The sequence below is a fragment of the Homo sapiens genome, chromosome 12 (genome assembly GCF_000001405.40).
Source record: "Homo sapiens chromosome 12, GRCh38.p14 Primary Assembly".
Lineage (NCBI taxonomy): Eukaryota > Metazoa > Chordata > Mammalia > Primates > Hominidae > Homo > Homo sapiens.
This window is the reverse complement of record NC_000012.12, coordinates 62,657,710-62,684,123: the sequence shown is the minus strand read 5'-3', so window position 1 is coordinate 62,684,123 and position 26,414 is coordinate 62,657,710. Positions and strand designations below refer to the sequence as shown.

At 44.0% G+C, this 26,414-nt stretch overlaps 1 protein-coding gene and 1 pseudogene across 3 annotated transcripts in view, besides 3 other annotated features; one reads left to right on the top strand and one right to left on the bottom strand.

The window, feature by feature from the left end:
- PPM1H (protein phosphatase, Mg2+/Mn2+ dependent 1H) overlaps positions 1 to 26,414 on the top strand; it is a 291,157-nt gene that overhangs the window by 251,027 nt on the left and 13,716 nt on the right. For 2 of the 3 annotated variants that reach the window (NM_020700.2, XM_011538578.3), the window contains exon 9: positions 16,795 to 16,946. In NM_020700.2, coding sequence (NP_065751.1) covers positions 16,795 to 16,946 — 152 coding nt within the window. Of the gene's footprint in view, positions 1 to 9,088; positions 9,487 to 16,794; positions 16,947 to 26,414 lie in introns of those variants that run through there. The other variant, XM_017019676.3, reaches the window with a different exon arrangement.
- Positions 24,150 to 24,676: an enhancer, noted in NCBI's record as "OCT4-NANOG-H3K27ac-H3K4me1 hESC enhancer chr12:63053228-63053754 (GRCh37/hg19 assembly coordinates)". NCBI's record gives its function as "activates a minimal SCP1, AML or CMV promoter by ChIP-STARR-seq in naive and primed H9 embryonic stem cells {active_cell/tissue: H9 hESC(naive and primed)}" and the evidence as "EXISTENCE:reporter gene assay evidence [ECO:0000049][PMID:30033119]".
- Positions 24,677 to 25,202: an enhancer, noted in NCBI's record as "OCT4-NANOG-H3K27ac-H3K4me1 hESC enhancer chr12:63052702-63053227 (GRCh37/hg19 assembly coordinates)". NCBI's record gives its function as "activates a minimal SCP1, AML or CMV promoter by ChIP-STARR-seq in primed H9 embryonic stem cells {active_cell/tissue: H9 hESC(primed)}" and the evidence as "EXISTENCE:reporter gene assay evidence [ECO:0000049][PMID:30033119]".
- Positions 24,853 to 25,327, bottom strand: RPL32P26 (ribosomal protein L32 pseudogene 26; annotated as a pseudogene).
- Positions 24,881 to 25,175: an enhancer, noted in NCBI's record as "tiled region #14116; HepG2 Activating non-DNase unmatched - State 15:Elon, and K562 Activating non-DNase unmatched - State 24:Quies". NCBI's record gives its function as "activates a minimal TATA promoter and a strong SV40 promoter by Sharpr-MPRA in HepG2 and K562 cells {active_cell/tissue: HepG2 | K562}" and the evidence as "EXISTENCE:reporter gene assay evidence [ECO:0000049][PMID:27701403]".

Below are 26,414 nucleotides of genomic sequence, written 5' to 3'. Positions count from 1 at the left end.
TCCCAGCCAGGTCCCCCATCCTCTTGCTTAGTGAAGTTTGCCATTAAACTTTTTTATACTGTCCTGAAAGAGTTCAGTGGAGAAGGATAGGATTTGTTAACTCAAACGCACTGGAGCCCAGGCTCTCCTCACATTCTTCTTTCTCAGCAATTCTCCCAGTCCCAGTCCAGCACACATCTCCTGTTCTGTAACTCAGACAGCCCAGCACAGGCTGGCAGCCCAAAACTCCAGATGTTCTCTGTGCCACACCCCTTCTTGGCCAGTGACAGGCCCTCCGTAGAGCTAGGATTCTTCTTAATTTCACCCTTCTTTCCAGCCTCCACTCAAAGACTGTGCTGTTGCCTTTAGCCCCATTTTGGGCTCTTGGAGAAACAAGGCCCTCTCTATTTGGGGCCAGTTTGCGGAGCCAGCTCTCTCCTCAGCTCAGCAAGCCCCCTTTCCGCCCCTGCTAGACTGAACCACAGGGGCCCAATTTTATTTCTGCTTCATTTTTCCTTTCCTTGGTTATCAAGATTCCTATCAGGTATTTTTTATAACTCCAGATCACTTATTTAGCTCACTCTCCATTTTCTAAAATCTAGATTTTCTTTTTCTTTTATCTGAAACAGCCTTCTTTAAAAGAACAAAGACCTTAGACTGTAGTATCTGAATTCCAACCCAGCACCAGTGTTACCAGAGGACTGCACAAGCAATCACAGCCTGTCTTTTCTCTTCCTTAAGGTGGGGTAAAAATCCCTATGTTGACAAGTTGTTAGGAAAAGCAAATGAGAACATCAGTGAAATGAGAGCATCAGTGAGAACAAGATGTGGTACGTGGTCAGAGATAGTAAATATTAGTCTTCCTTCCCCACCGGCTTCTGGAGGTCTTCACACTTAAAGATTCCTTGTATTCACTTTCATATTAATAGAGAATGGGCCAGGCACAGTGGATCACACCTGTAATCCCAGCACTTTGGGAGGCCAAGGCGAGAAGATCATTTGAACCCAGGAGTTCAAGACCAACCTGGGCAACATGGAGAAAACCTTGTCTCTACAAAAATAATAATAATAATAATAATAATAATAATAATAATAATAATAATAATAATAAATAATAAACTCTCCCAAATGTAGTATCTATAAATAATAAATTTATAAATAATAAATTAGTGGTACCTGCCTGTAGTCTCAGCTACTGGGGATACTGAGGTGGGAGGATCACTTGAGCCTGGAAGGTTGAGGCTGCAGTGAGCCATGATTGTGCCACTGCACCCCAGCCTGGGCGACAGAGAAAGACCCTGTTTCCCACCACCCCTCCCCATGAAAAAGAGAGAGAATGAAGGCCAGGCACAGTGACTCACGCCTATCATCTCAATGCTTTGGGAGGCTGAAGTGGGAGGATCACCTGAGCCTAGGAGTTCAAGACCAGCTTGGACAATATAATGAAACCCTGTCTCTACAAAAAGTTTAAAAATTATCCGGGCATAGTGGTGCACACCTGTAATCTCAGCTACTCAGGAGACTGAGAGGCCAGAGAATCACTTGAGCCCAGGAGTTCAAGGCTGCCTTGAGCTATGATCACACCACTGCTCTCGAGCCTTGGTGACAGAGTGAGACCTTGTCTCTTAGAATTCCTACTTTTTTTGGGATTCCCCCATTTTCTCCCATGAAAACATGAATAATATTTAACATGTTTACATCTTAACATTTATAATCTTCTGATTCTGGGTGACTTTTTGTTCCCAAGCCAAAATCCCATTTGGAGAAAGAACATATTTTGTTGTATTTTGTGCTTTCTACAGTCTGGCCCATTCATAAGAAACAATATTGGTGCATACTGACATGGGAAAATGGCTGTGCCATCTGAAGTGAAGCAGAACATGATTGTTCATACAAAGAGAGTGATGATATGCAGAAAAAAGCATATATGCATGGCCGAAAGTCTTGAAGTTTTAAAAAATGGTAACAGTAATTCTATTTGGAAGAGGAAGAAAAATTTGTTTTAAAGAATTTCCTGGACACCTCAAAAAAACCTGGAGGCCATATAATATGGTGGTTAAAAAACTTAGACTGGTAATCAGTCTTGACTTCAAGCTCTATCGTTGCACTTGCTAAGTGACCTTGAAAAAGTACTTCCCTGGATCTCAGGTTCCTGTTTGGTGAAAAAGAGGACAATAGAGTTGTTATACTAAGGAAACCAAGGAAAAAACTGAATGACATATGAAGTACTTAACAAAAAACCTGGCATAATAAATATTAGTTCCTAGCTCTTCTTCCTACTCCATTACAACCACAAAATTTCAGTGGTTCTTTCCATAGGTATCATGAGTCCGGTGGTGTTTACTGAGTAGAGCACTGGGGAACATATCTTCAAGGAATTCAAATTTGTGGCTAGTTAGATGGTTAGCCAAAGAAGGATGAGCCATAAAGCATGTGTTTCCTGCTTTCTAAGGGACTAGGGGATTTGGATATAGGAGGGAGAAGTATATCATCTAAAGAAAAAGAGATAGGACAATTTCTTTTTTTAAAGAAAGGAAGAAATCGTCTAGTGTGAAATAAAATTTGCCTTATGGGGTCATTTGAGTTTGAAAGATTAGCTTGAAGGGCTGTTAGCTCTAATAAAGCTAACTGCCCCAGAGGTCCTTGAACTGGACCTAAGGCAGTAGATAAGGTCTTCAGCAAGAGGAATATCTTAGCCGTAACCATGGGAGATGGGGGAGCTGCAGACAGGGCAGTCATTGCAGGACTGAGACTGTGGCAGTGAGGAGCCGAACTGGGGAAGGGACCGTGGAAACTAAAAGGTGGCATAATGAGGCAGACTGGATTTAGAGGATGAAGCCAAGTAAAATTTAAAAAACAAGACTTCGCTTTCCAGACTATGTGAAAGGAAGAATGGTGGTACTTGTTGAGGTCTAAAGAGGAAAAAATATGCTTTTTTGCCGTAAGTTTTCTGAACCAATTAAAAAAATAGACACTGGAGTCTGGGGTCAAAATAACTTTATAACTAATAACTAGTATAAAGTTAGATTGGTTTGGTTAAGGTTTGGATTTGAGACCAAAATGGAGTTCTCATTCCTCTCCTCTAGCCCCCACATCAAACCCATGGAATAGCTGTGGGCTCTCATCTCCCAATCCCAGAGCGGGAGGGTCTTCCTAGTATTTACCTGCTGGAAGACAGGAGCAGAGGGAACAAGCACCACTTACAGACAAATAGGGACCAGAGAAATAACTCCAGGGAGTTCAGTGTCCCATGTTTCATCTTTCCAGTCTTATTGGGATAGAGGGCATACAAGAGTTATATCCCAACACAATTCCTCTATGCCTTTTTTGGTTACAAAACAAACCTCCTCCAAAACTTAGAGGCTTTGCAGAACAATTTCTGATTCTCTTTCATAGTTCTGTTGGTTGACTGGGTTCAGCTGGGTGGCTCTTCCTTAGGACCTCTCACATGGCCAAAGTCAGATGTGAGTTGGGGCTGGGGTTGTCTGAAGACCTGTCTGGGCTGGAAGTCCAAGATGGCTTTCTCACATGTTAATGTTGGCTGTCAACTGGGAGTTTAGCTGAGGCAGCACTACATGCCTCTCCAGGTGGTTTTGACTTCCCAGAACATAGCAGCTGGATTCTGAGAGGAAATATTCTAAGAGTGGGTGGTTTAAGAATCCCAGATAGGCATGGTGGCACGTAGCTATAGTCCCAGCTACTTGGAGGCTAAGGTAGGAGGATTGCCTGAGCCCAGGAGCTCAAGGCCAGCCTGAGCAACATAGGTGATACCCCATCTTGAAAGAAAGAAAGGAAGAAAGAAAGAAACAGAAAGAAAGAGAGAGAGAGAAAGCAAGAGAGAGAGGAAGGAAGTAAAGGAAGGAAGGGAGGGAGGGGAGGGGGAAAGAGGAAAGAGGGAAAGAGAAAGAGAGAGAGAGAGAAAGGGAGAAAGAGAGAAAAGGAGAAATGAAAATAGTCCCAGGCAGCATCAGCAAGGCTTCTTAAAACCTAGCCTAAGAAGTCCCAGAACATCATCACTGTCACATTCTGTTGGTCAAGGAAATCTCTAAGGCCAGTCCATGTTTGAAGTTAGGGGAATTGGATCCACCTCTTGATGTGAAGAATAACATGCTTGTACAGGGAGGGAAGGAATTGATGGCAGTCATCCTGGAGACAGACACTGTATCACAGCCTTCCTGTAGAATTGCCCTCCCTGCTGTGCAATCTTGAGGGTGAAAGTAATAATCATCTGTCTTTCCAGGACTAAGTAATATAAGTTGATGAGTTAGCTGTTTAGCTAATTAAGAAAGGAAATCTACTTTGCAGTGTAAAGGCATATTTACAAAGAAGCTAATTAAACTTAAGTACTGGGGACCTGCGCTCAGATCAGACCCTGTGAGTTCTGATTGTTGCCGGAAAATGTAGACAGGCTGTTCCAGATGAAGAGGAGGAGCCGGGTTGCAATCAGGAAACATTTATGTAAACATTTCTCAAAGGAAAGGGACCTCAGCTTCCAGGGTTCCAGTAATATGTTGTAATTTTTTTCTCATTAATAAACATTCACATTAGTATCTAAATTTGTATTCATAATTACTTTTGCATTCTTGAGAGCCCCCAAAATTTCATAAACCTCAGACCTCACAAAACATGTATCCCCCTGCAAAAAGGGAAAATGGGGAGTTCTAAGGATACTTTGTTAGGCTAAAGCATTCATATTTGACAGCTTTCTTGATCCACTCTCCAGTCCTGCATATCTGTAATATCTCATACTTCTGTGTTCTCAATTAGCATGGCACACCCTTGGGGGCGATTTGCCTCCCCCAACCACCACCACCACTTTGAATATTTTTGGGGATGAAATCACATTAAGAATATACAGGTGGCCAGGCATGGTGGCTCATGCCTGTAATCCCAGCACTTTGGGAGGCTGAGGCGGGCAGATCACGAGGTCAAGAGATCAAGACCATCCTGGCCAACATGGTGAAACCCCATCTTTACTAAAAATACAAACATTAGCTGGGCACGGTGGCATGTGCCTGTAGTCCCAGCTACTCGGGAGGCTGAGGCAGGAGAATCACTTGAACCCACAAGGCAGAGGTTGCAGTGAGCCGAGATCTCACCGCTGCATTCCAGCCTGGCGACAGAGCGAGACTCTGTCTCAAAAAACAAAGAGTATACGGGCTGGGTGTGGTAGCTGCTGCCTGTAATCACAGAACTTTGGGAGGCTGAGGCAGGCAGATCACTTGAGGCCAGGAGTTCAAGACCAGCCTGGCCAACATGGTGAAACCCTGTCTCTACTAAAAATACAAAAATTAGGCATGGTGGTGCATGCCTGTAATCCCAGCTGCTTGGGAGGCTAAGGCACGAGAATGTCTTGAACCCAGGAGATAGAGGCTGCAGTGAGCTGAGATCACGCCATTGCACTACAGCCTGAGCAACAGAGTAAGACTCTGTCTCAAAAAGAAAAAAAAAAAGTATGCAGAAGCTACTTTCTTTGAATCTGGTATATTCTCACCTTACATGGGAGAGACTTCATGATGTGGCCTGTCCATCTCCATCTCTAACTCTCAGGTCTGGCTATAAAAATCAGTTGTGTGCATCTGTGTGTCATTTACATGGCTTGTTCTCATTTGGCCAATGACTTGAGATTTGCCAACCAGCTATTTGAATAAAACTTGAGATTTACTCTGACACACACCAAAAAACTAACTTAGCAACTCACAATAATTCATGGTCACACAACAGAAACCAACCTGTATGTGTCAAACATTTCCTCTCATTGGAGATTGTTGCCCTCTGATCCCCTCCTGAAAAATAATAATTTCATTTGGATGTTTCAGCTAAATATGCTATATCTTTTTTATATTTATTGCATTAATGCATATAAGAATGTTTAGAAGTTGGTTTCAAAAATGCAAATCCTGGGCATGGTGACTCATGCCTGTAATTCTAGCACTTTGGGAGACCAAGGCAGGAGGTTGGCTTGAGCTCAGGAGTTTGAGGCCAGCATAGGCAACATAGTGAGACCCTGTCTCTAAAAACAACACAAAACTTAGCCAGGCATGGTAGTGTGCACCTGTGGTACCAGCTTCTTGGGAGGCTGAGGTGGGAGGATCGATTGCTTGAGCCTGGGAGGTGAAGGCTGTGGTGAGAAATTGCACCAGTGCACAATTGTCACCACAGCCTGGGCAACAGAGCAAGACCCTGTCTTTGAAAAAGAAAAACTGCAAATCCCTGGAATCCACTTCCTGAAAATCTGAATCACTAGATCTGGGATGAGTTCTGAGCATTTTTACATTTTGGATAATTCTGAAGTAAGTGATCCAAAGACCACTGTTTGAGAAACAGATAATGTCACAGGATCCTTACCGTGTTGCTTCACCAGCCGGAAACCACTGTGGCTGGTGGCATCTTTGCCCAAGTTTTGCTTGGGCCCGCTGGGCCTGTTCTGCCCACTCAGCCTGGCAGGCTGCGCTCAGCTTTTGCTACTGGCCCAGACCCCATGCCTGCCAAGAGTGAGCCAGGCACAGAGCAGTGAGGGGTGTGTGAGCGAGTAAGCAAGTACAGGGTTCGGCCACTACACACATCCAGACATACCACCTTTGGCACCCCAGCACGGCTGAACCAGGCACACCACAAGCGGCTTCCACTGTGGGCACTGGGGAACATGGTGGTGCCTGAAAGCTTGGAGGTACCAGGAACTGTAGAGCCCCAAAGAGGGCATCACAACCCTGGCTCGGGGAGCTCCTAAGTCTGGGTTCCCCAAAGGGCCATGGCTCTTTCCTCCTCTCTTCTCTCCTCCTCATTGCCTGCAGTGTGGCAAGAGGGAGGCGTGTTTCAGCACTGTTTGTGTTACAATTCTTTCAGTCCCGCCATTCAGTGGGTCCTGAGTTCTTGTCCCACATCCAGGAAGAATGAGGTACATGGGCAACTGGAGGGTGAGCAAGGTGAAGAGGTGCTTTACTGAGTGATAGTACAGTGCTCAGGAGACCTGAAGTGGGTAGCTTCTTTCCACAGGCAGGTCATCCTGATGAGTGCAGCCCTCAGTGGAGATGAGACCCAAAATGGGTAGCTCCTATCTGCAGGCAGGTTGTCCCATTGTCTCTGTGAGTCTGGCTGAGTCTGGGGTTTTTACAGGCTTCAGAAGGGAGGAAGTGCAAGCTGATTGGTTCAGGGGTGGCCATGAGTGGGCCAGAAAAGCACCATAAGCTCTCACTCCAGGCTGTGGACTCCACCTGGAACTGACAGCCTGGCTCCCATGCTTCAAGTCATCCTTGGCTTGAAGATGCTGCTTTACCGCGGACCTGCCCCTTTCCCCCCAGGAACCTGTGTGCTTCCTGCTGCCATCGACATGTCATCCACGACACCCTGGCTGTCTACATCAAGAGGTGCCTGCAGGCCCACCTTGAGCCACCCTCAGCCCTTCCCCTCGGCCTCCCTCCCATGCTCGGTGGCGACCAAAGTCCAGAGGTGGCTGAGATGGCAGGGAGCTGGCATGTCAGTGCTGCCCCAAGCCCCCACACACCCAGCCGGGTCACGACAGTGACCAGGCTCAGCGACAACTTTGCTCCACACTGGAGTAGGCACTGGGAGCTGAGAGAGGCCAGGCAGCAGGAACAGACACTTCCAAGCCTGCAGGGGCAGGGGGACTTCCAAGACACCCAAGAGCATAGGGATGCCTGGGTCTGCAGCCATGGTTGGGTGGCTGCACCTGCACCCAGGAGGACAGGGCTCCTGTCCCACCAACTTGGGAGCTCCCACCTGTTCCCAGCTCCCACCAGCTCCATGGAGCACACAACACTGGCTGTGCCACCCCTGCTACAGCCAGCATCTTTGCAGCAGCTGGTCCAGACAGGCTGCTACTGCCATCAATAAGCTGTTCTTCACTGTGCTGCAGGAACTTGCTTTACAATCCTAAAATGGGTTTGTGATGCGTCCATATTGTAGTCTCAGGTTGTGTGAAGCAGCACCTTCAAGCCAGGGATGACTTGAAGCATGGAAGCCAGGCTGTCAGTTCCAGGTGGAGTCCACGGCCTGGAGTGAGAGCTTATGGTGCTTTTCTGGCCCACTCATGGCCACCCATGAACCAATCAGCATGCACTTCCTCCCTTCTGAAGCCTGTAAAAACCCCAGACCCACAATGCATGTGGCTCATGCCAGGCTGGTGGGTTAAGGATATGATATACCTCATTCTGCACTTGAACAGCTATGTTCTGGGCTTCTTGCTACCAGAACAACTGCAATCAGCGGGATTGACTTTGTCACACAGCAAATATCCCACAGTTTACCCATGGTGATTGTATCTCCCCTTCTAAGGCAGCATGCATAATAGCTTGCTCACTTGCTCTTGAGATCTCTGAAAACCTGCTGTGGTGAAGAGTCCTGTGAAGTAGTGACACTGATTTTTTCAGTCCCAATGGCCAGAAGTAGCAGTCATTTTATTATTTGTCAGGTGACCATCTTAACCCCTCAACCAGGAATTTTCAAGAATCAAAGGGGACACTATTAATAATTATGCTGGAAAAACAGGCGCAAATCAAAACTATTGGAGTAAACAGGGATGTATGGTCACTCTCTGCCTCACCTGCCTTCTGGGTGGACTTGAGGCAACTTGGTTCATCTGTTCTGCACCCTCATGTTTGCATTCACAGGCTGGGATTTCTTCTGATGCTTATCTTTGCAAATGGGCATTTTTGTGAAGATAGACTTATTCTTCAAATAATTATTGAGCTATGTTGAAGCCCATTCATTCACTAATTCATTCAATGGTCCTTTGGATCTAGTGGTGAACAAACCATTGGAAACCCAGAGAATTGTAACGTGCCAGGCCTTGTGTGTTAAAAAATGGAATGTTTATGCAATAGCAGCTAGGCATTGGTTATACCTTCAGGCTCTCTGCACAATACCTCATATTTTAGCTGGTTTAGAAAGAAACTTTTTGATCTGTTATATCGTATCTACCCTCCAAAGTCAAATGTTTGGTCTGTAGACTCCAAAAAACAAACTCTCAAGAGTATCTGTGGCATATTTCAAGTATAAATTTATACCTGCAGCCAAAACAGCTCCTTTTGCAATAGTATGAGCAGCCAACATATTTCTAACACTTCAGTGTCACTGGATTCACTTGCAGCCCAATGTTCTGAAGTCCTGTGATCAGTTACATCAAGGCCTGATGCTGTGAGGAGAGTCAGAGGATGTTGGAGCCATGAGCAGCCCCATTGGCCACCTAGGCCTAACCTCTCATTTCACAAACAGAGACAGGGGAGATTGGAGAAGTCCAGCCTCACCCTCCCCACTCCCCAGGGGACATCCAGTACCACAGCCAAACCAAGCAAGGTAAAGCTGCCCAAACACACCAGCCCTTTCTCACATCCCCAGGCTTTAGCCCCTGCAGCTTCCTCTTCGTGTAAGGCATACGATGTCCAGCTCGTCCATCCAAGGAATCAGTATCCCATTTACCTTTGGTGTTCCCAGCAGATGGTCTGTAAGCTTTGAAACTGAATGAATAAAGTGATTTTGCCTAATGCAGAGGTGGGTTTCAAACCCAAGTCTTCTGCCTCCAAATTCAGTGTTTGTTTCATGACATCAAGTAAAGTAGATAGACTACTACAGAGAATTTGGGTATAGTCTTGGTGGCCTGCTGGAATGCCAATCTTGAAATGATCTACTTGGTTTATAGGGCTGCAGGAAGTGTGTTGGTGTTTTATTTTCTTCTTGTCATAAGTGTCATATTCAAAGATCCATAGGTTGAGCTGTTGGGTTGGACACATGAAATAGAGGGGACAAGATTTCATCTCTTTATTTCCCACCAACTACTGGCAGCCTTTACCTTGGGAACCACCTTGGCTATTTCTGCCAGGAAACACTATTGAGAGCTCCAGTCACTGCTGTTTTAAATGAGACTTTGGGAATTGAATCCCAGTTTCCCTGAGCCCACTCTTAATCCTTTCCTTCTACCAACTAGACGATATTCAGATGTGGTTGCCCTGAGATCAGTGCCATAAAAGAATTAAAATTGGCAGTTCCCTTCCACATTATTTGATCTTAATTACAGCTTTGTGAGAGAAGTAGAGCAGTTGTTATATTTCCTTTTTCTTGTGTTTTTCAGTTTTTGAAAAATGATTTCAGAGATAGGAAAATTGAGCGCTAGGCCAGGTGCAGTGGTGTGTACGTGTAATTCCAGCACTTTGGACGGCCAAGGTGGGCAGATCTCTTGAGCTCAGGAGTTTGAGATCAGCCTGAGAAACATGATGAAACTCGTCTCTACAAAAAGTAAAAAAGTATAGGTGGTGTGCACCTGTAGTCCCAGCTACTTGAAAGGCTGAGATGGGAGGGTTGCTTGAGTGTGGCAGGTTGAGGCTGCAGTGAGCCAGAATTGTGCCACAGCACTCCAGCCTGCGCGACACAGCAAGACCCTGTCTCAAAAAAAAAAAAAAAAAAAAAAAAAAAAGAGTGGCTCTTCTCAAGTCACAAAGCTTGTTAGAAGCAGAGACCTGAAGCAAGGCTTCTGATAACAAGGGCAAGCCTCTTTCTCTTCCACAAAGCCAGTCCTGAGCTGCAGGAGCTCATTGTCCTACATTGAGTACTTAAAAGGGAAAAACCAGTTTGGAGAATCTGCTGAACTGATCAAGACACAAAAGCTGTGAGGGCATCCTAGAGAAGCGGCAGAGATTTGGCAAATGGAAGAATTGATGGATTCTTTTTAAAAGTAGCTTTAAGAAGCCAGAGTCAGCTTATAGGTGTATGAGCCCTCCTAACATGCCACCAAAATATCATCAGTAATAAGGCAAAGATGGGAGCAAGTATTACACAAACGCTGAAACAGCAGCCTGCAGCCGAGCACTAAGTGGAGGTGCTGTATTAAAGAGTTGCTTGTCACAGGCTCCTGTGTAAAATAAGTGCCCAATGTTGACATTAAGGACATCTCTAAGTGCTCTGAAGCTGAGGGCTCTGTGAGAGCAGTCAGCACTTGGCTCATTCAGAGCACATTAGTCAAGGTTCTTGTTTGCCCCCAGACTTATTCCTGCTCCCCCACACTGAATGTTTATTGGCAGCTCCACTGAAAACAAAGGAAGAAAAGGAAAGAGTTTGCCACTTCTGTTATATATCAGCACATTACATTTGTTTGACGATTTGGAAGTGTCTCAGTTAACAAACTAAATCTGTTGGATCACCGTGAAATGAGGGGGTCTTCTGAAAGTATCTTGTATGTTTAATTTGTTTCTTCCACTCTCCTTCCCCTGTTTATGCTTTGCCTCAGCAAGTATGTCCTGAAGACCTACTGTGGTTTACACTATAGAAGATGCTGCTAGACCCACAGAGGAAATACAAATTGGGATTTCTGGGCCTTCAGAAGTTGAATTTTGGTGGGACAATAAGATGACCAACCCCCTGGGTGTTCATTGTAAGCTGGACAGGGGTAAAATACCCAATAAGGAAATGCTTTCTTCGGTTGTGAATTGAGTGCTAGGCACAGTGCTCTGTTCTGGGTACAAAAACAGATAGGATAAGATGGACCTTATCCCTAAAGGAGTTGATCGTCTGTTACAGTTTTTCAAGGTGAGATTCCCCCCACCACTTGCATCAGAATTCCCTGGGGTCCTGTTGAAGTATGCAGCTCAGATCTGTACAATCAAGACTCTTACAGGTAGGATCTTTGAATCTTAACTTGGTTAAGGTAGCACTCCAAGTGATTCTAAACACATTTAGGTTTGAGAATATCTAGTCTTTTAGAAGAGACAGAAAAGTGGGCCCTGAAAGGCTGATAACAAAGATGCCAGCGGTGTTTCAGGGCCAGTGTGCTGTTTGTCAGTTGCCTGTCTCCTTTGTTGTGATCAGATCATAAGGAAAGCTTCAGAAGCCTCATGAGGGGATGGAACACATTCACTTTTTGTTCTTCACCTGGTTGCTCTCGCAAAAGCAATAGTATTCTGCCATATTCCAGGTTCAGATTCTGCTGAGACAGGATCAGCCTTGAGAGTCTTCCAGGGTAGATCAGATGCTGTGTATCACTCTCTGTACCTAAAGGACAAGGCACAAAGCTTCATCTCTGTGGAACAATCAGTTTCGACGATTATTCATTCAGTGAACCAGGTGTTAAGTTGGGCATTGAAGATACAAAGCAGAAAAAAACAATGCCAACCCTCATGGTGTTTACAGTCTAGTGTCAGGACAGGGCCATAAATCGATGATTACAGTTTCACACAAAACTGACAGACAAAGATTTACCCACAGTAAAGCATATAGGTAAATCTTATATTAGTGGGTGTGAAAGGATTGTGCCTGCAGAGGACCAGGGAAAAGAAAGATGGCTTCTCTTTGGTCCTCCTTAGGGTTGCTTTGGCAGGAGAGAGTGACACCCACCTTTCTCAGCCCTCCCTTCTTCACCACCAGTCTAACACTGAGTAACAGGAATCCAAAAGAAGGTTGGGGAGGTGCAAGAAGGGACCCATGGGAAATTGACTCGCTCAGATGGTACCTTCCCAGAGAGGTCCACCATGACCTCATCTTCTAAAATGACTCTATTGTTCTCCTTACCATGCTGGATTTTTCTTCAGAGCATCTTTCATCTTCTGACATTGTAATTTATTTGGGTGTCTATCTCATCTACTAGTTTAGAAGTTGTGAGAGGCTTTGTCAGTTTTAGTCACTGTGTCCCCAGTGCCTGGAAAACGAGTTGGCACACAGCAAGTATGCAATAAAAGCGTACTGAAGGCAGCAGAAAGGCAGGTCCACACAGGTCCCATTTTTTAGCTGCTCAGATTATATTGTTCTGAAAAACTGCAAGAATCTCAAGGATTCGTCTGGCTTTTTTCTCCCTTTCTTGGTGGATGGGAACCCGGGAAGGAGCCATTAGAAGGTCTGACCATGTCCCCCAGTCCCACTTCAAAGCCGTTTCTGTAGCACACCTGTCCCCTCCAGGGCTGCAAAGACTCTTCCAGATGTCTGAGTCCTGGGGAGCTTCAGAGCCCATTAGTTTGATGTGAGGCTTCCAGGAACATTAAGAAGCTATTTAAGGAATTGAACAGGGGAACTTTGAGGATGTGGGTATGGTTCGATTGAGTAAGGCCAACAACAGCTTCAGGGAGGGAAGGTCAGGACTCCGGAGCCCAGTGGAATCCTTTGAAGCCTTTGCTGCTGGGGAGGATAAGCACACAGTGGGATGACTTGCGCGGCAGTCCAATTCTTCTGAAAACATTTTTGCAAAATGTTCTGCATCACAGGTTAATGTATAGGACACGAGTTGTAAGTGGAAAGTTAGCAAAGATTTTTGGAAATTGGCTAAAGGGCAGGAAACAGAGGGTGGTTGTAAAAACCTCAAAAGATGTTAATTGGGGAGTGCTTCACAGACCAGGGTTGTGACCAGCTTTTTATTATTTTCATACAAATTACATGAAGAACGGTCTTGAGAAGGATTTTCATGTTGGCTAATTAAACTACATTAGGGAGCCGAGCATAGAAATGGGAACGGTAGAATTAGGGAAAGATTACATTTATTGATGGAATTGAAGAGTAGCATTTTATAACGTGTGTATGTATCAACCCACACCCATTCTGTTGGCCAGATTTCCATTTGAGTGTGGACAAGACAACTTCAGCTTGAATAACACAACCTGTCACATTTCTTGGGTCAGCAGGAAGCACTTTAAAGAGGGTTTGGCACCCTACTCATAGGGCAGACTCTGAAATTAAATGGATGTTATCTGCAGACCTGAACCCTCTCTTTTAGAAGAAGCTGCAAGGCAAATGGAATCTCCTGTTTAACTGCAAGCATAAGATTGAGACATCCACATCTCACCACCTCTTATGACTCAATATTGTCTATCATAAAGAGTTCAAATTATCCCAAAAATTTATTGTAGGTATAACCCAATAAGAAGCTAGGAATCGGCCAGGCGCGGTGGCTCATGCCTGTAATCCCAGTACTTTGGGAGGCCGAGGTGGGTGGATCACCTGAGGTCGGGAGTTCGAGACCAGCCTGACCAGCATGGAGAATCCCTGTCTCTACTAAAAATACAAAATTAGCCGGGCGTGGTGGCACATGCCTGTAATCCCAGCTACTAGGGAGGCTGAAGCAGGAGAATCGCTTCAACCTGGGAGGCAGAGGTTGCAGTGAGCTGAGATCATGCCATTGCACTCCAGCCTGGGCAACAAGAGCAAAACTCCGTCTCAAAAAAAAAAAAAAAAAAAAAAAAAGGAATCAATCCTCTAAACACTATTTTTTTTTTAAAGACTGGGTCTCACTGTCACCCAGGCTGGAGTGTAATGGCACAGTCATGGCTCACCACAGCCTCAAAATCCTGGGTTCAAGCAATTCTCCTGCCTCAGCCTCCCAAGTAGCTGGGATGACAGGCATGCACTGCCATGCCCAGGGTCTCATTGTTTTCTTTAATTTTTGTAGAGATAGGATCTCACTATGTTGCCCAGGCTGGTCACGAACTCCTGGCCTCAAGTGATCCCCCTGCCTTGGCCTCCTATTAGCAGTGTCTCTCAAAGTTATTGTATACTGAAAGTAACAACACAGTGAACCAGTACTTGAAGCTAGGAGCCCAGGGGTGACATTTACAGTCTGTCAACAGCCCACTCTAAGGAACAGTCTCCACAGTCATCATAAAGTCCACTGAGACGTTGATTCCCTTGTGTACAAATCTGGCCCAGTAGGAATCCTCTCTGGCCTTGCTACTCGGGGCCCGGTCTGTGAACCTGCAGCATTGGCATCACCTGGGAGGAAGTTGAACCACAGCTCTCAAGCCCACCCGGAACTGAATTGTAATCTGGATTTTAGCAGGATCCCTAGCTGACTTCTGTGCACATTAATATTTGAGAAGCTCTGCTCTAACACACCGAAGAACCATGGAAAATAAAGCATAGGAGGGTTGCTTGTTTCTGATACAGTGAAAATTGGACCACATTCGTCAGTGACCTGAGGACAGAATTCTGACATTTGGGACTTTCTGGTCTGCCGGAAACTGAGGCTTTCATGTTTTCTTTAATTTGGCTTAAAAGGCTGAGTGCCCTCTCCGGAACATAAGTTTAGCCTTAAGTGAGCATGCCTTTTGGAAAGAAGATGTTAAACACCAGTGCAGTGTACTCCTGAGTGTTCCTCCCTTGAGCGCAGCTCATGTGCTGGGCCATTAGCTAATTGTTACCTTCTTGTTCACAGGCCACAAAGGCCTGGCGCCTGGTGGCTGCTTTTCATTTGAGCTCATTCACCCAGGGCCCTGTGGGTAAACATTTTGTTGTGTTCTGCTGCTGGGAATAGACTGTCAGCCCACAGGACCAGCCCCATGCCAGGGCATCACTAGCCTGGACAAACCTTTCTAAAACATAGGAGGCTTGGCTTTCAAAGACCTAAACAGATTTAGTCTCTAGGCTGAGGTGATATGATTGTCTCTAGATCTGAGGTGACATAACAATGGCTGTGCCATAGGACATGTGCCCTGACCCATCGCTTTCACTCAGACTTGCATTTAGAAAATAACAGGAATGGGCTGGGCATGGTGGCTCATGCCTGTAACCCCAGCACTTTGGGAGGCTGAAGCAGGCGGATCCCTTGAAGCCAGGGGTTCCAGACCAGCTGGGACCCAGCTGGTAAAACCCCATCTCTACTAAAGATACAAAAATTAGCTGGGTGTAGTGGCATGCACCTGTAATCCCAGCTACTTGGGAGGCTGAAGCGGGAGAATCGCTTGAACCCTGGAGGCGAAGGTTGCAGTGAGCTGAGATCACGCCACTGTACTCCAGCCTGGGCAACACAGTGAGAGACTCCGTCTCAATTAGAAAGACAGAAAATAGAGTAATAAGGGAGGCTGAAGGGGATTGATTAAATTGACTTGCTTTTCTTCTCAGTTCATGAGATGGTATAATAGGCAGGGATTGATTCTGCCAAATTAGGAGGGAAGAGCAGTGAAACCCCAAATCCCTCTCCACACCTCCCTATCCCTCCCCTCCCACATTGAAGTAGGATGGACATAGAATTGTGGCCTAGCCCAAGAGAGGCTTGATTTTTATTCTTACTAGTTTTGCCTAGGCTGCCTCATTCTCTTTCCAGAGCTTAGGTGGGTGTTGAAATATCCAAGTCATTTAAGGTACTAGACATGAGGAAAGACTTAAGTCTGTCAAGACAAAGACATACTTTGGAGGTTCAGAGTGAGCGTGTATCTTCTGTGAGCCTCAGTTGAGGCTCCTGAAACATGAAGGTAGTGTCAGAGCCCCCATCCTTATGTGAGAGGAGTTGGCTGCTTGGGCCTCAGAGCAGGTAATGCAAGAAAGGTTTCAAGTGAGTGCATTAAATAGAATGTCTCGTTACTCCTAGACAAATACATGTAGAGCAGCTACTAAGAATCCTGAATTGGTTTTATCTCCCCCACAGACTGAGACCTCCTCTGAAGCAGAAAAATCAGATATTTAACTTTGCATTTATAGCACTTGGCACAGGGTAGGCCCTTAATAAATGTTTGCTGAATGAATACGCAAAGGAAGACAGCAAACAAGCTCACTGCTGATCTTCTGGCTAGCATAAAATCCACTTATAAATCATCATTCTGACTATACCTCAGACATTACATTTTCAATTAATTTCTTCTATGTCAATTACTAAGCCCACCGCTTAGGCTCATTCACAAATGTGTATTAGGCCCCATGTGTCTATATAGCAAGTCTCCAAGGGAGACTATCCCTGGCCACACAGCTCGCTGTATAATCAAGTACCCTACAATGCATATCTGAAAACCACTAGGCTGGGCAGGAAAAGGGAAGGGGAATCAGAAGTCAGTTTGTTAGGGAGAATAATATGCTTCCAATTTCTTAAGTGGTAGTATTCTTGTTTTTTTTCAGGTAAGAATCTACGATCTTTCAAAATATGATCATGGATCAGATGATGTGCTGATCTTGGCCACTGATGGACTCTGGGACGTTTTATCAAATGAAGAAGTAGCAGAAGCAATCACTCAGTTTCTTCCTAACTGTGATCCAGATGATCCTCACAGGTTTGTGCATTTCTACAATTGTAGGGTTGTTCCTCAAGCATTCTTCCATGACATGCCTGAAATTAATAATCATGCAATTTTCATAATTCATGACTTAGAGGCTGATATGGACGGTACAGTAACCAAACTGCAGAAGGGATTACCTTTCTTGTAAGAGGTACTTTCCAGCCAGGTGTGGCGTCTCATGCCTATAATCCCAGCACTTTGGGGGGCCAAGGCGGGTGAATCATGAGGTCAGGAGTTCTAGACCAGCCTGGCCAACATGGTGAAACCCTGTCTCTACTAAAAATACAAAAATTAGCTGGGCATGGTGGTGGGCACCTGTAATCCCAGTTACTCGGGAGGCAGAGGCAGGAGAATTGCTTGAACCTGGGAGGTAGAGGTTGCAGTGAGCTGAGACTGCACCACTGCACTCTAGCCTGGGTGACAGAGCGACCCTCTGTCACAAAACAAAAAAAAAGAGGTACTTTCTCTGCCAAATAAAAATCCCCCTTAAGTTGAACGTAGATACAAGTGGTAAAGAATTTGAGTGTTTGTTTAGGCATTTCAGCGGCATACCTTTCTCACATTTTTACTTCCTCTAAGCTATCCTCTAAAGTAGAAATAATCCCATTTCTGATCCTGTTGATGAGAGTGATGGCAAATGCACCCCAGCACTGATAGTCATCCATTGGAGAATTGTTTCTTTTGAGAAATACTTGGTAAGAAGAGAAAGATCCAAGTTAAGTATTTCTTACAGTCTAGCAGCAGTGTAAATAACCTAAATATCCTTAGAAGACTCTCAGAAATAAACAGAAACTACCTCTCGAGAAAGGCAGCTTTATCTAGAACACAAGTCACCATGAGTAAAAGCCAGCAGGAATAACAGAGGCATCAGAATTGGACCTGTAAATACTTCTTTATTGGATTTAGCAGTCAAAAATATAAATATTTTTAGCTGGGCATAGTGATGCATACCTGTAGTCTCAGCTGCTTGAGAGGCTAAGGCATGAGAATCGCTTGAACCCCGGAGACAGAGGTTGCAGTGAGCCAAGATCGCGCCACTGCACTCCAGCCTGGGTGACAGAGGAAGACTCGGTCTCAAAACACAAACAAAAGAAAGCCAACAATAATATAAAATATTTTAACATGCTTCAGAAATTTTTTTTTAGCCAAGCATGGTGGCTCACACCTGTAATCCCAACACTTTGGGAGATAACGCAGGAGGATCACTTGAGCCACAGGAGTTTAAGACAAGCCTGGGAAACATGGTGAAACCCCATCTTTACAAAAATTAGCTGAGCATGGTGGTGCATGCCTGTGGTTCCAACTACTCAGGGGGCTGAGGTGGGATTGCTTGAGCCCAGGAGGCAGTGGTTGCAGTGAGCCAAGATCGATCACACCACTGCACTCCAGCCTGGGCAGCAGAGCAAGACTCCGTCTCAAAACAAACAAAAAAATTTAAAGCATTTAAAATAGGAGTCTTAAAAGAGACTAAAAAAATGACTAAACAATTTTTAAGAAAATGGAATTCTAGAGATGATAAATTTAAAAATAGGAATTAAAAATTCACTGAATTAAACAGATTAGAGCTAGTTGAAGAGAACACTGGTGAACTAGAAAATTGATCTAATAAATAATCCAGTAGATGGCTTAGACAAAGAGAAAAGACAATGTGAAATGAGATTAAGAGACTAAAAAGATGGCCTAAGGTGCTCTAAAAGAATTCCAAAAGGATAAACTATAGAAGATGGGAAGAAGTTCCAGAATTTTTTGTCAATACTAAACCTAAGATTCAGAAAGCCTGACAAATCTCTGGAAGGAGAAATAAAATAGTGAAACCGAAGAAAAGCCGAGTGCTGTGGCTCATCCCTGTAATCCCAGCACTTTGGGAGGTGGAGGCGGGCAGATCACCTGAGGTCAGGAGTTCAAGACCAGCCTAGCCAACATGGCGAAACTCCCATCTCTACTAAAAATACAAAAATTAGCCAGGCATGGTGATGCATGTGTGTAATTCCAGCTACTCAAGAGGCTGAGGCATGAGAATTGTTTGAACCTGGGAGGCGGAAGTTGCAGTGAGTTGAGATCACGCCACTGCACTCCAGCCTGGGTGAAAGAGTGAGACTCTGTCCCAAAAAAAAGAGAAAGAAACTGAAGAACTTTAACCCCTTTGCCTTCCAAAAATATATTAAAAGCAGCCAGGAAAAAAAAAAAAAAAGAAGACATTCAGACTGACAGCCAACTTTCAAAAGTAAACGGTGCCAATGGTGGGATTATATCTTCAGCTGGCTAAGAAAAAAATAACTGTCAATCTAGGAATTTTAGATGTAGCAAAACTATCAATAACAAGGATGAAGTAAACAAATTTTCAGGCAAAACATAAACTGATACATATTACCGCCAACTAACCTCTTCTGAAGAAATTTCTACAGGGTGTGCTCAGGTAAGAAAAGGAAATGATCCCACAGGAAATATCTGAGAAGTAAAATGGATTATTAAGCTAAGGTATTAGTAAACATGTGGTCATATTTAAATATACCTTGACTATATAAAACAGTAATAAGAATGTCTAATGTGTGGGTTAAAAATGATAGAACTAAAATATTGCATAAAAATAGCGTACAAATTGTCAAGGGAGGGGTGTTAGCTCACATGCTATGCTTCTTTTGAGAAGTTAATGGTGTTTAACTTTAGGCTTTAAGTAAACAAGTTGAAATAGCTAAGAAAACTGTTAAAATAATAGAAAGGGTAACTTCTAAACTAGTAAAGGAGAGGAAACTCACATGGAATAGAAACCAAACTTCTAAACAACTTATGAATCAAAGGAAAAAATTATAATGAAAATTAGAAAGTACCTGGGCCTGAATAATAATACATATCAAAACTGTAAAGGCTGAAATTTTAGCCTTTTTTTCTAATTTAATAAACTAAGCATAGATGAAGACTCCATTCACCTCTGACCTGCCAGAAATGACTATTATCCCTCTATGCCATGAGCTAACTTTATCCAAATGTCCCCCTGTGTCACAGGGAACCTCTGGCCACAAGATCCTGATTTCTGGAAACAGAGAAGAAAAGAAAGATACCCTTAACCACAGAGAAAGATATTTCTGAGTGAGGCCCTAAGGGCTGACTTGTGTTACTTGGCTAGTTCGGTCTATATTCTTCGCATAAATGTACACAGAATAATTTTTTTTTTTTTTTTTGAGATGGAGTTTCGCTCTTGTTGCCCAGGCTGGAGTGCAATGGCGCAAATCTCAGCTCACCGCAACCTCCGCCTGCCAGGTTCAAGCAATTCTCCTGCCTCAGCCTCCCTAGTAGCTGGGATTACAGGCATGTGCCACCACGCCCAGCTAATTTTGTATTTTTAGTAGAGATGGGGTTTCTCCATGTTGGTCAGGCTGGTCTCGAGCTCCCAACCTCAGGTGATGCGCCCACCTCGGCCTCCCAAAGTGCTGGGATTACAGGCATGAGCCACTGCGCCCGGCAAGAATTCTTACAACTTAAAGGCTCTAAGGAGCCAAAGTGAAGCTGCCTACCTAAATTGATCCATAGAATCAGTACAATTATAACCATAATACCAATGGTGTTTTTATGGAGCCCAGCAGTTCTACTCTTAGGTCTGTACCCTGGAGTGGTGGTTCTGAAAAGCACGGTCCTTTGAGCTACATGGCATCAGCAGCACCTGGGAACTTGTTAGAAATGCAAATTTTGGCTGGCATGGTGGGTCATGCCTATAATCCTAACCCTTTGGGAGGCTGAAGCAGGAGGATCACCTGAACCTGGGAGTTCAAGACCAGCCTGGGCAACATAGTGAGACCCTGTCTCTACCTTTACATATATATTTTATAAATTTTTTTTTTTAAAAGAGAATTGCAGATTTTCAGGCCCCACCTGAAATAAAAACTCCAATGGTAGGACCAACCATTTGTGTTTTAACAAACCATGCAGGTGATTCTGATGCTGCTAAAATTCAAGAACCGACTCTCCTAGAAGAACTCTTGCATCGTCGTTCATGCAAGAAGATATTCACAGAATTGTTTTTATTACAGAAACTGGAAGTAACTTGCGTGTCCAGTGGTGGGACGGGTAAACAAATATTGGGATACTTTATAGCACCTCCCCCACCCCCAAAATGAGCCAAAGCTGTGCTCATTAACAGGGAAGAATCTCAAAAACATAATGTTGAGTTTAATAAGCCATAGAGGAATACATACATTAGAATTCTATGTACATGAAGTGAAAACTACCAATATATTGTTTAGGGATATAGACATTAAAACTATAACAAAAACCAAGAAAATTGGCCCAAAATTCAAGATAATGGTTACTTTGAGAGGAGAAGAGGCAGATACCAAGGGGAATATATGCTTGAGGCCTGTTGGGTTTCTAAGATATTTACTGATAATATTCTGTTCCTTCAAGTAGATGGCAGGTACATTGTTGTTTGTGTTATTTTTAAACTATAAATGGTATATGAGAGGCAGGGTAGTCTCGTGGTTAAGAGCCTGTAATCTATAATTACTTCCCGAGTTGAATTTTGGCTCTTCCCCTTCTAGATTTAGGATCTTGGGAAAATTTCTTAACTCTTCTCTGATTGTTCATATGTAAAATGGAGATTCCAACAGTATTAACCTCATGCATATATATTATTAGGTGAAGTGCCTAATAGATAATAAGCACTAATAGATGTGTGTGTTGTTATGTCTCACATATTTCACAACAGAAATTCAGGAAACGTGAAGGTAGACCATCTGTCTCCTCCTCGAATTGTCTGATATAATTCAGCTCAGGTGTGGAGGAATTGATGGCACTATAATTAAATATTCTTTTATTTGAATTTGAATGTGTTTTTCGCCTTTCAAGTTTCATGTTATGTATCCCACTTGTTAGCAACATTCTCATGTTGATTTTTCTCTACTATGATTATTTTTATAAAGCTTTGCAAAGCCACCTGCCAGTTATGCATTAAAAGGCACTCAGCACTTTTTTTCTGTGTCTAAGCTGGCTTGGTCTTGCTTACCAGCCTTCCTCCAGAGTGATAAATCTGTATGCCAAGGAGTGGTAACCTGTGGGCAGCGTGCACATGCCAGGTCAGAGCAGGCTCCTGGGGTCCACGAGAACTGCTGCCTACGGAGGCAGGGTTCACAAGGATCTCTTTGGAACAAACAGGATGGGAAAGAAAAAATGTTTTCTGTATGCCTTTCGGGGAAGATGGCAAACCAAAGCAATAGAAAGAATCCTATATCAGATGGATGAATGAATGAAAGGGAAAATTGCAAGGGGAACACAGTTTATCAGCAAGAAATAGACTATCAGTCTGCAGATTAGACAATTATGGTTGTAAAGACAGGTGCAGTGGCATGTGCCTATAATCTGAGCGACTCCATAGGCTGAAGCAGGAAGATGGCTTAAGCTTGAGTTCAAGACCAGCCTGGACAACACAGCAAGACTTCCTCTCTAAAAATAAGGAAAAAAAAAGTGTTTTAACAGACAGAACTGGCCTAGGTGCAGTGGCCCACACCTGTAATCCCAGCATTTTGGGAAGCCAAGGCAGGCGGATCCCTTGAGGCCAAGAGTTCAAGACCAGCCTGGCCAATATGGCGAAACCCCGTCTATACTAAAAATACAAAAATTAGCTGGGCATGGTGGCACCTGTAATCCCAGCTATTCGGGAGGCTGAGGCACGAGAATCTCTTGAAGCTGGCAAGTCGAGGTTGCAGTGAGCCGAGATGGTGCCACTGCACTCCAGCCTGGGCAACAGAGCGAGACCCTGTCTCAAAAAATAAAAAAGAAAAGGAACTGAAGAGTCAAGGTTTTCTTCTTAACAAATAACTCCCATTCTGATTTGTTCATTTGGGAAATACCACTAAGGACCTATTATTTTGTGAGCCAAGGCCTGCTAGATACTCGTGAAGAACACACACCTCAGCTCTGCCCTCTTTGAGTTTACAGTCTGGAGGGATTACAGCAGCATTAACCTAAAGCAAAGGATGTCTACACTTAAACCTGAAGAATAAACAGGAGCGAGGCAAGGGTCAGGGGAGTTGGGGAGAAAAAACATGGCACATTCTGGGACCCAACAGTCAGTGTGGCTGACTGGTCTTGGAGGTGGGGAGCAGAATGTCAACAGATGAGGTGTGAGGGGTCAGCAGGGGCCCATGATCTCATGAGATCATGAACGTGAAAATTATTTGTGTTAAAGGAAGTCTGTGGTAACGATATGGAATTTATGTAATTTGTTCATTATGATTCACAACCAGGAAGCATTCTGCAAAATCTGATGGTGAGAAACAAGATGAGGATTGTTTTCCTACCCCTGTGTGTTCCTTTAAGTAATTACACAATATTGGGACATCAGAGAAACTTAATTTGTTTCAGACTGACAATTTAGGTCTTAGCCAAGAAACCTTTGCTCAGACCAATGTCCTAAAGCATTTCTCCAGTGTTTTCTTCTAGTAGTTTCGTAGTTTCAGGTCTTATATTTAAGTCTTTAATTTGTTTTTATTATTTGATTTTTGTATATGGTGAGAGACAGGGCTCTGGTTTCCTTTTTCTGCATGTGGATATCCAATTTTCCCAGCACCATTTATTGAAGAGACTGTCCTTTCCCCAATGTATGTTCTTGGCACCTTTGTTGAACATGAGTTGGCTGTAAATGCATGGATTTACTTCCAGGTTCTCTATTCTGTCCCATTGGTCTATGTGTCTGTTTTTATGCCAGTACCATGCTATTTGGGTTAATATAGCTTTGTAGTATATTTTAAAGTCAGGAAGTGTGATGTCTCCAGCTTTGTTCTTTCTGTTCAGGTTTGCTATGGCTGTTCTGGGTCTTTTGTAGTTTCATACAAATTTTAGGGTTGTTTTTTCTATTTCTGTTGTCAAACTCATAATTTAGGAATATGTGAAACAGTGTTCTCTTTCATGTGTTTGCCATCTTTGTACATACCTGTGTGTAATTTGGTAGGAGGGCACCACACTCACACACCAGTTTAGGATGTCTCCTTGGGAGGCTCATGGACAAAGAGAGCTCAGTCCCAAGAGCCAGTGCCCTCCCAGCTGGGAGCTGTTCTAATCTTGTCATGCCAAATGGAAATATGAGTAGAAGTTGCCAAGTCATAATTTCTGTGATGAGGAAAGGCCCACTATAATTCCAGAGGCTCTATTAGCCCTTCCTTGGCCAGAGAGTTCCTATTTCTCCATATGTAGCCTGGGACTACACGTTTGCCTGTTTAATTTTCAGTGGAGAGTTGCTGGGTTCAAGCCTGAGGGAACTGACCAAAGGAGGTCAGCCTATTGTTGGACACAAAATGAGAAGGGAAAAGTTCTCCCCAGGGTGGGAAGCCTGAGGGAAGGGGAATGGAACAAAGCCGGTGAGAAGGGTAAGGTGCTTCTGCATCTGAGGTTTTGAGTGGGCCTGTTTTACTTTGAGTCTTACCAGGATCTCCCAGTTTTGTCTAGAAAGGAAGCAGGACAAAAAGAGGCAGGGAATGAGGCCTGAGACAGGCAAGACTAGGGGCTTTTGTCGTTTGATTGTTGGGCTTTTGTTTATGTTGCCTGTAGGTTCCTTTTCTTTTTGTTTTTCTTTTACCTCCTAGTGACAGCCATTCTAAACAAATTGCCAGCATTGTCTTCCTCTGTTGACATCCTTCCCAGCAAGGAATTTAAAATAGCATCTCCCCCTCCAGAATGTGCTGTGAGGGAAGAGGTGATTAGCATAAAGATGTGTTCTGACCCTCACACCATCCTCTCAGGCAGAGATGGGAGTAAAAATGAGCTGTATGATCTTTCTGACCCTGGTGTATCTTAAGTCCTTTTGCTCTTTTGAACTGTCTCAACAAAGGAACCAGAAAATTAAAAGGCGGCTTTATGGATGAGCCAGAATATGAGTGCAGTAAGTTTTTCTCTTTTTTTTTTTTTTTTTTTTTTGCAGTTTTTACGGTTTTTTAGAACACAATGTGCACATGAGCTGTCTACCCATTTTCTTCGCTGCACAGCCTGGCATTGGGGTTGGTGACTCTGATGGCCAGCTGGGCAGCTCTTTCCACAACGGCTTTGCAGTTCTTGGAGGAAACATTGTGAATGATCTCAGCACAGTAAGATTTGTTGCATGGCAGCAGCACTTCCGGCTCCTTGACGCTGTGGATCAGGAACTTCCGGAAGCCACTGGGCAGCATGTGCTGTTTTTCTGTTGCTCCCATAACCAATGTTGGGCATCAAGATCTAGCCTTTGAACCTTCTATGAGCCCTGTTGTCAGTACCTCTGGGTTTCTGCCAGTTACGCTTAATTTTGACATATTGGTCAGACTGGTGCTGGATGAACTTCTTGGTTCTTTTTTTGACAATCTTGGGCTCCACAAGGAGTCTGAAGTTGGCCCTGATGCCAAGGAGGAGATGGCCCCTCTTTCTTTCTTTCTTTTCTATCACAGTTTGCCCTGAATTGTAGGGAAGCTGGCAGTTCTTTTACTCTTGTGGGGTCACGAAATGAACTGTTCCTAGGAAATGCATTGCGCTAACATCCTGGAGTGGGGTTGCTGCAGGTAATGGAGGTTGGGCTGCACAGTCCTCTGGTTCCTTATAATTCCAGTAAGGTTCTCTTTTAAGCCCTAAAGATCCTACATGATTTGGAGAAGGCACTCAAACCTGGAAAGGGTTTTCTGATGCAAAATATCTGCAACTGACTGTCCCCTCTGTAAGGCTGGAGGTTCAGTGGGGGGGTCTCCTGGGAAGAATATTCAAAACGGAGGCAAATATGTAAACACTCAGAGAAGAAGACGCTTACCATTTTGTCAGAAAGGAATAAATTGTTACTATTACTGAAGGGGAAGGGAGTGGGCAAAGCCAAGAGGAACTAGGGCCAGGGAATAGCTAACCAAACTTGGAAATGCACATGGATTCACATTCCCAGTGCCCAGGCAAAACTGTGCAGGCTTTGCTCTAGAGCTTCATTTCCCCAAAACTGTCTGTGGAAACTTCTTTTTTACTTAAAAAAAAAAAAAAAAAAAAAAAAAAAAAATTCACCGTGTTACCCAGGCTGGTCTCAAGCAATCCTCCTGCCTCTGCCTTGGCCTCCCAAAGTGCTGGGATTGCAGGTGTGAGCCATCATGCCTGGCCCCACCTCATTTTTTTTTTTTTTTTTTTTGTAACCTGGATTTAATGACCCTCTGTCTCCCTGCCATGACCCTTGAGGGGCTTTTTATGCAGTATTTATGCAGTATTAAATCTGTAAGAACCAGTATACCATAAACCCTACAGAGTATGTCTCTAATGAGAGAAGCCTTCCTGATGTCCACACTTGTCAGTCTTCACATCCATGCTCTCCTTGGCTCAGATAGCTGTGTGCCTTGGAAGGAAGAGATTAATCAGTGAAAGGTTAATAGTAAAACACCAACACTGACAACAGGCGTTAATTCAAGTATTAAATGCTAGTTTGCATTACCCTAATATGAAATTTATTTTTGCAAAATACAAAGGTTCTTTTTATGAAAC